This window comes from Homo sapiens, chromosome X (genome assembly GCF_000001405.40).
Source record: "Homo sapiens chromosome X, GRCh38.p14 Primary Assembly".
In the NCBI taxonomy this organism is placed as follows: domain Eukaryota; kingdom Metazoa; phylum Chordata; class Mammalia; order Primates; family Hominidae; genus Homo; species Homo sapiens.
In genome coordinates this window covers 16,612,596-16,625,532 of record NC_000023.11, presented here as the reverse complement: position 1 = coordinate 16,625,532, position 12,937 = coordinate 16,612,596, and the positions used below count along the sequence as shown (strand labels likewise).

General features: G+C 43.1%; 1 protein-coding gene across 9 annotated transcripts in view; it reads left to right on the top strand.

Annotated features, from left to right (window-relative positions):
- CTPS2 (CTP synthase 2) overlaps positions 1-12,937 on the top strand; it is a 124,912-nt gene that overhangs the window by 87,378 nt on the left and 24,597 nt on the right. For all 9 annotated transcript variants that reach the window (NM_019857.5, XM_006724503.4, XM_047442260.1 and 6 more), the window contains 2 exons: positions 5,201-5,256; positions 8,287-8,383. In NM_019857.5, coding sequence (NP_062831.3) covers positions 5,201-5,256; positions 8,287-8,383 — 153 coding nt within the window. The remainder of the gene's footprint in view (positions 1-5,200; positions 5,257-8,286; positions 8,384-12,937) is intronic.

Sequence of the window (12,937 nt, the reverse complement as noted above, 5' to 3'; positions counted from 1 at the left end):
TGGAGTTTCCGGAGTCACAGGCACCCACTCCTAGACACTACTGTGTGGCTGGAGCCCAAAAGTGTTCGCCCTGGATCCTGCACCTGCCCGTCTGTGTGCTCCCCCTCCCATAAGGGATTTGAGTGCACACAGTGGCTGAACAGATGAGCCATACCTCTGTTGCACGTCCTGTGAGGGGGGTCAGGGAACTCTCTCGTTTTATCGATACCTCCTTGAAGTAGAATCATACAGTATTTGTCCTTTTATGAGTGGCTTATTTCACTTAACATATTGTCCTCAAGGTTCATCCATATTGTAGCATGGGACAGGATTTCCTTCCTTTCGAATGCAGAATAATATTCCATTGTGTGGATGGATATGCACATTTTGTTTATCCATTCATCCCTCAGTGAACATTTGGGTTGCTTCCACCTTTTAACTTGTGTAGCTTTTTTGGGGGGATATTTTGGCTCTCAAAAGGACAAAGGAAAAAATTAGGTTCAGTTGCTAGGATTACTCACATGAGGGTAGGCATGGGCAGGACCATTAAACAGGTAAAAATATATTATGTATGAGGCAGTATCTTACCCAGTAGCAAATTAGAGAAAGAGATGGTATAATTTGGAAAGGTGGTTTTTGTTTCTGATAACCCTTTTATCCACATTTTTGGTGTCTTTCTGCCTGCATTGGGAGTGCTTTATAGGTCCTAAGACTTTTGTTGGTTTTCTTTCTCTAAAGCTTTGCTGACATTTACTTCTTAAGTGAACATTTTATTTTGTCTCTAAAAAGACTAGGACAGAAAGAAAGACTGAGTCACTTTGTTGTTGAGATTTTCCCCCATTCCTAGGATCATTTCATGGCACCTGTGACAGAGGACTGCTCTTAGGAACGTGGTGTGTATACCTCTCAGTTTCTGACTCTACTCCTAGATTTTACATTCAACAGTATCTAGCATTTTGCCTTGTCGTGGAATGTTCTTATACTGCACTTTCAATGTTGGTGTAGATTAGTTGATTCTAACCAGAAATGCATGTCAGGGTGACTTGTGGTGCATTTTTAAAACCCACGTGGCCAGACACTCTCCTGAGAGTAATCAAATCAGAATCGATGGTACTGGGGTACCCGGGCTCCAGAATGAGTATTCTTAGTTTTATTTTGTTTTCGGGATGTTCTCAAATAGAATTTCATTGGTAGCATTCTGAACTGATTCTCAACATAGAGTTTTTAAGGAAATTTTAATTTTTCCTTTTTCACAGGTATAGCAATGGATTAATTTTGTAAATTCATTTCTGATAGATTTGTAAGCAATGAAGAAAGATTTTGAATGCATAAAATAGAATTTCCAAAGTTCTGAAAACATGTTTCATTGTATATCGTATCTGTTGTATGTTGATTTCATTCAACAATTCATTATTGAGTACCTGCTTATCTGCTAGGTGCTGGTCTTAAGAATTGAGGGGATGGGCCAGGCGCGGTGGCTCACGCCTGTAATCCTAAGGCGGGTGGATCACGAGGTCAGGAGATAGAGACCATCCTGGCTAACACGGTGAAACCCCGTCTCTACTAAAAATACAAAAAATTAGCCAGGCATGGTGGCACACACCTGTAGTCCCAGCTACTCGGGAGGCTGAGGCAGGAGAATTGCTTGAACCCGGGAGGCGGAGGTTGCAGTGAGCTGAGATTGCACCATTGCACTCCAGCCTGGCGACGGAGTGAGACTCCGTCTCAGAAAAAAAAAAAAAAAAAAAAAAAAAAAAAAAAGAATTGAGGGGATGACTGCTGGGTATATACCCGAAAGGAAGGAAGTCAGTATATCAAAGAGATATCGCAGTCCCATGTTTATTGCAGCACCAGTCACAGTAGCCAAGATTTAGAAGCGACCTAAGTGTCCATCAACAGATGAATGGATAAAGAAAATGTACTTATACACAATGGAGTACTATTCAGCCATAGCAAAGAATGAGATCCTGTCATTTGCACAGCACAGATGGAACTGGAGATCATTATGTTAAGTGAAACAAGCCAGGCACAGAAAGACAAACATCGCATGTTCTCACTTATTTGTGGGATCTAAAAACCAAAACAATTGAACCCATGGAGATAGCAGAAGGATGGTTGCCAGGGGCTGGGAAGGGTAGTGGGGGGCTGGTAGGGAGGTGGGGATTGTTAATGGGTTCAAAAAGTAGAAAGAATGAATAAGACCTACTATTTGATAGCACAACAGGGTGACTATAGTCAGTAATAATTTAATTGTACATTTAAAAATAACTCTAAGAGAGAGTAATTGGATTGTTTGTAACTGAAAGGATAAATGCTTGAGGAGATGGATACCCCATTCACCATCATGTGATTATTACACATTGTATGCCTGTATCAAAACATCTCATGTACCCCCTAAATATATATACCTACTGTATACCCACAAAAATTTAAAATAAAAGATTTAAAAAAATAATTGAAGGGTCAGGTCCCTATTTTGTCTGTTACCTCGTATAGCTTATGTTCTAGTTCCATTCATTTGGATTTTATTGTCTGGAGATAACAATATCAATCACTGAAATGGTTCGCTTTCTGTTCTCAGTGCTTCCCATATTTTGATTTATTTAATCCTTACAACTCTATGAAGTAGGAACTATCATAATCCCTATTTTATAGATGAGGAAACTGAGGTAGAGAGGTTAAATAATATGCCCAAGCCACACATCCGTTAAATAGTACAGTGGAATTTAAAGCCAGGAAGTCTGACTTCAGAGTCACTACACTCCCCTACCCCTTTCTGTCACCTCTGAGATATCTTAGCAAATACAGAGTCTGCCTTAAGCCAGGCAGCAGTCAGAAACCATGCAGTTTCAAACATTCTCATGATATCCTGCTAGTCCCCTTGACTCGAAGATACGATTCCTTATATCCTAATTTGGAGATTTGTGCCATTTTCCCCATCATCTCGAGAAATGTTGGCAGACTCTAGTATTGGATTTACAAATCACCTATTGTAATGAAGGGAACAGAAAAGAAATTTTGGACTATAGGAGGAAAAGATCAATGTCAAAGTCAGAGGTCATAGGACACTTAGGATCCTCTGAGGCAACTTCCTGATGCTTCTATGTTTTCTTTCTTTTTCTTTTTCTTTCTTTTTTTTTTTTTGAGACAGCATCTCGCTCTGTCACCAAGGTTGGCAGGTTGGAGTGCAGTGGTGACATCCTGGCTTACTGCAACCTCCGCCTTCCAGGTTCAAGTGATTCTCGTGCCCCAGCCTCCTGAGTAGCTGGGATTACAGGTGCGCACCACCACGCTGGGCTAATTTTTGTTTAGTAGAGATGGGGTTTCACCATGTTGGCCAGGCTGGTCTTGAACTCCTGACCTTAAGTGATCCTCCCCCTCTCAGCTTCCCAAAGTGCTGGGATTACAGGTGTGAGCCACCGCGCCCGGCCTTCCTGATGCGTCTGTGTTTTCTAACTGTATGTTATTGTGCTTTATTTCCCATTTTTATTTTAATTTTTATGAAGCAGTTGTTTTAGTTTAGGCTGTCCTGAATGACCCCTGCCAGTGGTATGTTCGCATTCTCTCAAAGGAACTCCCTGCCCCCACTATTCCCCTTTTTTCTAAAATACATACCTTAAATATTCACTATCATTCATATCGTCACCAGGGAGCTCAGTCTATATGGACAGAATTGCAAATAGAAGTTCAGCTGTGATCATTGATCGTACAAAGTTATATGAGAATACAACCCATTTGTGTTTGCTTGATCCAAGTCAAAAGCTCAAACAAGATGCAAAGAAAGCATTTATTTGGTTTTTCTTGGTTGAAACATCCTGTTCCAGCCTCATGATGTCTTTGAGAGTCTGATAATTCCCTGCCTGTTGAACTGAGCATGGCTTCTGATTCTGTTGGAGTTTCAGCATGACTTCCAGCACTGTTATCTTCTTAACCCTTGGCTGTGTACCTGGGATCTGCGTTTTGAGGGCTAGTGCTGTAGGAAGAGTCTCTGGTCCTCTCAGACTGCTCCAGTGCTGGAGCCCACTTGGTCCCTGGACCATCCTGCTTCTCCACATGCTCCAGTAGGGGCATTCTTTTTATTATTATTATTATTATTATTATTATTATACTTTAAGTTCTAGGGTACATGTGCACAATGTGCAGGTTTGTTACATAGGTATACATGTGCCATGTTGGTGTGCTGCACCCATCAACTCATCATTTACATTAGGTATTCTCCTAATGCTATCCCTCCCCCAACCCCCTACCCCCCGACAAGCCCCGGTGTGTGATGTTCCCAATGGGAGCATTCTTGAGAGGTGTTTGGTGATGGATCCGACTCCTATTCACCTGACAATGAAGTCACTAGGCAGCTCGTTGATCGCCGTGCCCATCGCCACACTGGTCATGCCCAGGGTGCTGTGCTTAGCTGCAGTGCCTCAGCTACGTAGGCATGTTTAGGCAGCTCCCCAGATGATTCTCAGCCACACACCCCTGGTTAAGAGCTGTTGGCATAGATGTGCTATCATTTAATCCACCAGTTTGTCTATTCTTGATGCTCAGCTTGCTTCCAATTATTTGCTATTAAATAATTCAGCAGTGCACATCTTTGTGGTTAAGTCTTTGTCCTCATTTCTATTTTCTGGGATAAATTCTGAGAAGTCCAACTGTAGGATCATAGGATAGGTACATTTTTAAGGTGGAGTACATTTTGAATGTGGCCAGTACGGTGTGAAAATCTGGAGGCAGCTGGTGGAGTGGAGAAAGCATTGGGCCAGGTGTGAGGAAGCCTGGGATCAAGAACAGGCTCCGCTGCCCAGCAAGGCAGGGCTTTGGGCAAGTCTCTTCCCTGCCCCCAGTTTTGTTTTCTTCCTTTGTAAATGAGGCTCATTACAAATCTGCACTGAAGCGATAGTGCAGACATGGCCGTCTCTTAGTCCTGCAGGCAGGTGTATATAAGGAGGGCAGATCTGCTGGATTCTGTGGTGGACTTGTGTAGCATCTGGCTTCCTTTTATGCAATGGTGATGGCTTACTTGAGAAGTGCTTCAGGTTTTCAAAGAAGCTATCGCCATCTTCTATTAGAAAAGAAGAAAATCTAGATGACTATATGGAGTCTATTAGTTCATTTTTAGTCCTCTGATAGATAGATAGTGATCCAGGCACTTGCCTCCACAAAGCATCATGGATGTGCTTGTGAAGCTGCTTACTCTAATATTAATCTCGCTCTTGTATCTTTACAGGGAAACTTTATGGTGATGTTCCTTTTATAGAAGAAAGACACAGACATCGGTTCGAGGTACGGCTTTCATGCTGAATTACTGGGGAATATGGATGCTTAGTGTGAGGAACCCAGTGATTACAAGCTGAGCCTCTGGAAAAGGTGTCTAGCCTGGTGGTATTCACAGGGCTCAGAGAGGACCAAATTTCCCACAGTCTCCCACTTCCAGAGGAGATGGGCGGCGAGGGGACAGGGGTGGGGAGTGGGGGGCGGAGGCTCTCATGTTTTTGGCTTTCCAAAGGCAAAATCTTTATGTACCTGCACATGGGGCCTATCAATGCCCTTTGTTACTCTAACTGCCATCTTCTAGATCATGATAAGGCCATCATTTCTTATCCTTAGCCCCCACCCTTTATTTTGCCAATTTTGTGGAAAAGAGGACTTGAATCTTCTGAGAAGGAACCAAGTGCCTTTTGGGATGGGGGTGCATCCCTGGGTATCAGGGGGTGATTAGTTTGAGAACCTCTTTGGAAATTTACATTAAGCTTGAGGCTTAGCGTCACATGACTAAAAGGAGTTAATTGTTGAGGTTGCCACATGAGAAACATAGATTTCTCGAAATGTAGATCGTCTATGCCAGGATTAATGAGTGTGTCAATTACGATGCATTTGACTGTGAAGAACAGAAATCCCTGCTTGTTGTCACTCAAATCACCCTAAACATTAAGGAAATTTGTTATCTCAGGCACCAGGTTGTCCAGAGGCTGGACAGGCTCCAGGCATGGCACAACCAGGGCTCCTGTTGTCTCTGTGGTTATCTCAGCCCTACCCTTGTCTGTGTGTCTGCTTCGTCCTTTAGCTGGTCTCCCATATAGTTCCCAGGTGGCTGCCAGCAGCATCTGGGACAAGAGGCATCTCTCCAGACAGGGAAATCAACTTAGATTACCTGCCCACCTGTGAACTAGTAGCCATTTTTCAGGGCAATGCTGAACATCAGTGGGCTTAAACCTGGGTTCTTGCAATATTCATCTTCCAAGAGGGCTGGGTTTATTATGTTTGGCTTAGACCAGTTAGAACCAGTTTCTGGAATGGGACAGATGGAGTTTCCTGGTTCATATAGGGGTGGAGTGGATACCAGGACAAGCCTAGGGCTCTGTTTTGAAGGAGGACTCGTGGGAATCAATGCCAAGTAGGCAATGAACAGTGTCACTATGACCAAGGAACATAATTTGGTACATGTAGGACATTTTTGGTCTTATTTCCATTGGGAACGGGCCCAACTGGTGGGATAAAAATTATTGAGCTGCTTTGGCTAAGTGGCAATGAGAAGGTGCAAGAACTGGTACGTACGCAATAGCGTAGCCATTCATTCATTCACACCTATTTTGCATCTGGTATGCATTGGAGATGGAAAGGGGAAAGACAGACATGGTCTCCCTCTTGTTAGGGAGCTTACATTCTAATGGAGAGGACAAAAAATAAGATAACATAATAATTACAGATTAAATCCTGTATTGGATAAGGGACTTGTATCTAAAATATATGAAGAGCTCTTACAACTCAATAATGAATAATTGCAAATGATATGAATAGATATTTCTTCAAAGAAGATGTACAAATGACTAATAAGCACATGAAAAGATGCCCAACAATCATTAGTGATCAGGGAAATGCGTATTGAAACCACAAAAAGATACCACTTCACACCCACTAAGCTGGCTATAATCAAGCACAGACAATAATAACAAGTAGTGGAGAGGATGTGGGGTAACTGGAACCTTCATGCATTGCTGGTTGGAATGGAATATATTGCAGCCCCTTTGGAAAACCATCTGGAAGTTTTTCAAAAAGTTAGACATAAGAATTACCATATGACCCAGCAGTTCCACTCCTAGATATATACCCAAGAGAAATGAAAATGTATGTCCACACAAAAACTTTTATCTGAATGATCATAGCAGTAATATTCATAACAGCCAAAAAGGCAGAAACAACTCAAATGTCTACCAACTGGCGAATAGATAAGCAAAATGTGGTGTATTCATTCAATGGAGTATTATTCAGTCATAGAAGGAAATGAAGTACTGATTTATGCTACAACATAGATAAACCTTGAAAACATCATGCTGAGTGAAAGAAGCCAGATACAGAAGCCCACATATTGCATGATTCTATTAATATAAAATGACCAGAATAGGCAAAGCTATAGATGTGGGATATAGATTAGTGATTGCCAGGGGATCGGGTCAGGGTGATGGGGGGTTGGGGGATGAGGTTAAAGGGTACAGGGTTTGTTTTTCAGTTGGTTGTGGTAATGGTTGTACACCTCTGAATATACGAAAAATCATTTGTGTATTTCAAATGGGTGAATTGTATGGTATGTGAATTATGTCTTAAAGCTGTTAAGGAAGGAAAAATAATGACAATACGAGAACTGGTATAATTTTAAAATGTAGAATAAAAGCTCTGAGGTTAAGATTGCAAAGAATAGGTGAGACTCCACCTTAACTTTTGACAGGGAAGCACTTTCACTGAAGGAGAGGCTGAAAAGGAGTCCTTAGGTTTGGGAAAGGGCTAAGGTGAGATGGGGGCCAGAAAGGGCCACAAGCCAGGTCATCAAGTTGCCATCTATTAGGATATTTTAGTAGAAAACTTGCTCCAAGCTTCTCTTTAGAGCTTTTATGTAACTGCATGTAAAGAAAGCATTGGGGTTAGTCACAAGGGAAATAGGATAGTTTTAATCTTCAAGCAAATTTGTGATTCGGGGAGAGATAGGGAAGTACACATAACTCAAGGGAAGAAGCAAACATGGAAATGGCTATAAATAACTAGTCTCAAGGTTCCAGGTCAGAATGTCTGGGTTACAGGGCCTACTTTTTGAATCTCACCTTTGGGTAATAGAAGGCACCTCCTAGATTTAGGTGCTGTGGTTACATTTTATATCTGAGGTTCATCATTAGTTTAAAATTGGCTTTGAGCATTGAATATAGACATTAACTACTAGTTAGAGGATCACTGAAATGGAAAACCCACCCAACTGATGAAGGACCTGGTATGGCAGCTGGTATTGCACTGTGGCCCATAAACACTTAATTTCTTGTTTTGCAGGTAAACCCTAACCTGATCAAACAATTTGAGCAGAATGACTTAAGTTTTGTAGGTCAGGATGTTGATGGAGACAGGATGGAAATCATTGAACTGGCAAGTAAGTGGGCTCTTCATTTTTGAAAACCTTCCAATAACTTGCCTTTTTGTGGACCACAGACTAATTTGAGACCCAGTTTTTTTTGCATTCTTTCTTTTCTTCTCTCCTTTGAAACAAATATGTAACTACAAAGTACATGAAAAAAACAGACTGCTGGCTGGGCATGGTGGCTCACGCCTGTAATCCCAGCACTTTGGGAGGCTGAGGTTGGCGAATCACCTGAGGTCAGGAGTTCGAGACCAGGTTGGCCAACATGGTGAAACCCCATCTCTACTAAAAATACAAAAATTAGCCAGGTGTGGTGGCGTGCACCTGTAGTCCCAGCTACTCAGGAGACTGAGGCAGGAGAGTCGCTTGAACCCAGGATGTGGAGGTTGCAGTGAGCCGAGATCGCGTCACTGCACTCCAGCCTGGGTGACAGAGTGAGACTTTGTCTCAGAAAAACAGACTGCTTATAATCCTGATCATTTTGGAGCCTATTAGTCTGACTCCACCATAAAATGATGTATTATTCCAAGTCTACCAGTTCTACAAGTAGTATGCTTCCTTACCAACTCCTCTCTTTCTGAGGCTACTTCTTTGTGCCAGCCTCTAGGTTAGGTGCTCTGGGAAAGGCAGAGTGGCACTGTTGAGTGGCACCCTGCCTGCTCTCCTCTTTTGAGAAAGAATAGCCAAGTGCCACCTCATTTTTGGTGACTGATGTTGATTTCTGTTGCTTGAGGGACCTGGCTCCTCTCCTGCCTTTCTCCACTGTGCTGGGTGGTCAAGCACGGGTCAGTCATTTAACTTCTGAACACTAATCACTGCCCCCAGAGTTGTTTTTAAGAGCAAACAGAACAGAAATAAAGGCATCAGAATTGAGGAAGAACACCGAAGTTGTTGTTAGTAACCAGGCTGGAACACCCGTGAGCACATAGGCACAAACTACACATTTACTATTGATGAGACAGAAGGCAGTGTTCTTCTCAGTCAGCTTTGCAAGGACATGGTAAGCTCATGGTCACAGCTGGTCTCAGCTCTTTGTCTTGATGTTCTAGCCCAGGGGTTGGCAAACTACTGCCTGTGCACCACGTCCAGCCTGCTGTTTACAGCCAGCTTATGAGCTGAGAATGATTTTTACATTTTTTAATGGTTAAAAAAATTTAAAAAAGAATACTGTCTGTGACATGTGAAAAGTGTATGCCATTCAAATTTGCATCCATAAATAAAGTTTTATTGGAACACAGTTTAGGGGTAGAAAGGTGTTATCTGTGACCTTCTTACCCATCATAAGGGTCATGACCAACAACCCTATAACAAGACAGGTTGACAAGAGAAAAGCATAACAAATTTATTTAATCAAAGTTTTATGTGACACTTTAGTCTTCAGGAATGAAGACCCAAAGACTTGGGGAAAACTTCATTTGTATGCTTAGGTTTGATGAACAGTGGACAGCCATGTAGCAATGTGATTGGGCAAAAGGGCATACTCTAATGGTAATAGACTGACAGGGAAACCCAGAAAGGCCTGTCTGCTCAGATTCTTCTTGGCCTTTCTGTGTAGCATCCCATTCCCCCAGGTCTAGAGCAGGACTCATCTGGAATGAGGGTCTTATGACCTACTTTCAGGAAAGGTAGGTCAGATAATTTATTTATAGCCAGCTTTCACATGGAAAGGCGGGGGAAACATCACAGTGACCTTCTTGCTTTGGAGGTCTTCCCAGTCACCTTCAGTTCAAACTACTTTAGGGTAGTATTTTCTGAGCTCCGACAACAGCAACACTCATTCATTTATGTCTTGTCTATGGCTGCTTTTAATTTTTATTTTTTTTGAGACAGGGTCTAGCTCTGTCACCCAGGCTGGAGTGCAGTGCCATGATCATGGCTTACTGCAGCCTTGACCTCTTGGGCACAAGTAATCCTCCCACCTCAGCCTCCCAAGGAGCTGGGACTGCAGGTGTGCATCACCCTGCCTGGCTACTTTTTTTTTTTCTTGAGATGAAGTCTTACTCTGTTGCCCAAGCTGGAGTGCAGTGGCGCGATCTTGGCTCACTGTAACCACCACCTCTCAGGTTCAAGCAATTCTCCTGCCTCACCCTCCCGAGTAGCTGGGACTACAGGCATGTTCCACCATGCCCGGCTAATTTTTGTATTTTTTAGTAGAGATGGGGTTTCACTATGTTGGCCAGGCTGGTCTTGAACTCCTGACCTCGTGATCCGCCTGCCTTGGCCTCCCAAAGTGCTGGGATTACAGGCATGAGCCACGACGCGCAGCCAATTTTAAAATTTTTTTTGTAGCGGCAGGTTTTTGCCATGTTGCTCAGGCTGGTCTCACCTGGGCTCAAGGCCTCTTCCTTCCTCAGCCTCCCAAAGTGCTGGGATTACAGGCATGAGCCACCATGCGCAGCCAATTTTTAAATTTTTTTTGTAGCGGCAGGGTTTTGCCATGTTGCTCAGGCTGGTCTCACCTGGGCTCAAGGCCTCTTCCCTCCTTAGCCTCCCAAAGTGCTGAGATTACAGGCATGAGCAACTGCACCTGGCCCATGGCTGTTTTTTATGCTACCATGGCAGAGATGAGTAGTTAAGAAAGAGACCTTATGGCTCACAAAGCCTGAAATATTTACCTTTTATAGAATATTGGCCCTTTACAGAAACATTTGCTAACTCCTGGGCTAGACTCACACATATACACTTCATTTAACTAACTTGAATTTAACATTTTCACGTGCCTCCTTGACCTGTTTGTGTATTTGGATGTTGTGTTGCCACTTCCATCTCAACTTATTTAAAACTAAATTTACATGGTCTCCCAATTAGTTCATTCTCCTGTTTCTGTTAAGATATCATCAATATCCTTGTCCAGGGTTTCTCAGCCTTGCCACTATTGATTGACATTTGGAGTGGAATAATTCTTTGTCGTGGAGGCTGTCCTGTGCACTGTATAGCAAGCTTGTCCAACCCACAGTCCGTGGGCTGCATGCAGCCCAGGGTGGATTTGAATGTGGCCCAACACAATTTCGTAAACTTTCTTAAAACATTATGAGATTTTTTTGCAATTTTTTTTTAAGCTCATCAGCTATCATTAGTGTTAGTGTATTTTATGTATGGTCCAAGACAATTCATCTTCTTCCAGTGTGGCCCAGGGAAGCCAAAAGATTGGACACCCCTGTTGTAGAGTGTTTGGCAGCATTCCTAGCCTCTACTCACTGCCACTATCATCCCTACCTCCCACGTTGTGACAACCCAAAATATCTCCAGACATCATCAAATGCCCCTGGAGAGCCAGGTGCAGTGGCTCACGCCTGTAATCCCAACGCTTTGGGAGGCGAAGGTCGGAAGATCACTTGAAGCCAGAAGTTCGAGACCAGCGTGGGCAACATAGTGAGATCCTGTCTCTACAAAAAACTAAATAATTAGCTGGGCATGGTGGTTCGTGCCTGTGGTCCCAGCTACTTAGGAGGCTGAGGTAGGAGGTTGAGCCTGGGAAGTTGAGGCTGCAGTGAGCCATGATCATGCCACTGCACTTCAGCCTGGGTGACAGAACAAGACCCTATCTTAAAAAAAAAAAGGCAAGTCCCTGGGGGGCACATTTGGTGGAGAACCATTCTCCTAGACTATCAGGCTAGAAATTTCACATATTAGCTCTTCTTCCCCTTCAGATCCCAACTAGCAGTGTGTTGTCAAGTCCTGCAGATTCTGCCTCTGGAAAGAAAGCTGGTGTTTAGAATTGCACTGCCATCCCTAGAACACTAGTCCCAGTGCATGCCAACTCCAGCTCACACTTGTCCTCAATCTCCTTCCTGCTTCCAAGCCATCCCTTCTCCAATACCTCCTAACAAGAACAGAACTCTGCAGTGTGTGACACTAATTTGTTGGATAAACCACTCTCATATATTGAGTACTAAGGGTGTGCAGGATACTGTAAAAATGGTACCGTGATGTTCCAGAACCTGCATTTCCAGCCTATATGCTTTAGGCTCCAGATAAATTGGATTGCCTGTGCGTCTTCTAACCTCCCTCTTCTTTCTCCGTCTTAGCTCATATCACTATTCTCCATTTCAAATGCCTTTTCTCTGTCTCTTTTCCTTTTTGTCTCTAATCTGTTCAAGTACTTCCAGAGTCCCGAGCAGAGGGGAGAATTGAAGTCCAAGAAGGCTCCTTTGAACGTTGTAGCATTTTACCTAGACCTGAAAGAAGGAAAGCAATGGACATTCAGTGTGCACTTACTGGATGCTTGTCACTAGACCTCTTGCTAGGGACTTTGCATACCTTATGTAACTAACAAAGCAGATGATGCTATTCCCACTTTACAGAGGACACCGGAGTGCAAAGAGGTTAAATGACATGCCCAGGGCCATCCAGCTAGTCCTTTGCAGCAAGAGCAAACCCAGTTGGTTACCTCCTTCTGCCACCACTGCTGTGGGATTTCATTGTTTCTCTTGTTTTCACGTTCTACCTAAGATGATCAATTCATGCCTAGAGTTTTGAATTAGAATAGTAAGTACGCATTTCCAGGAGTCTTTCTGATGGAAATGCCCATCATTTAGAATTAAAGTGTGGATCGCTGTTGGTATT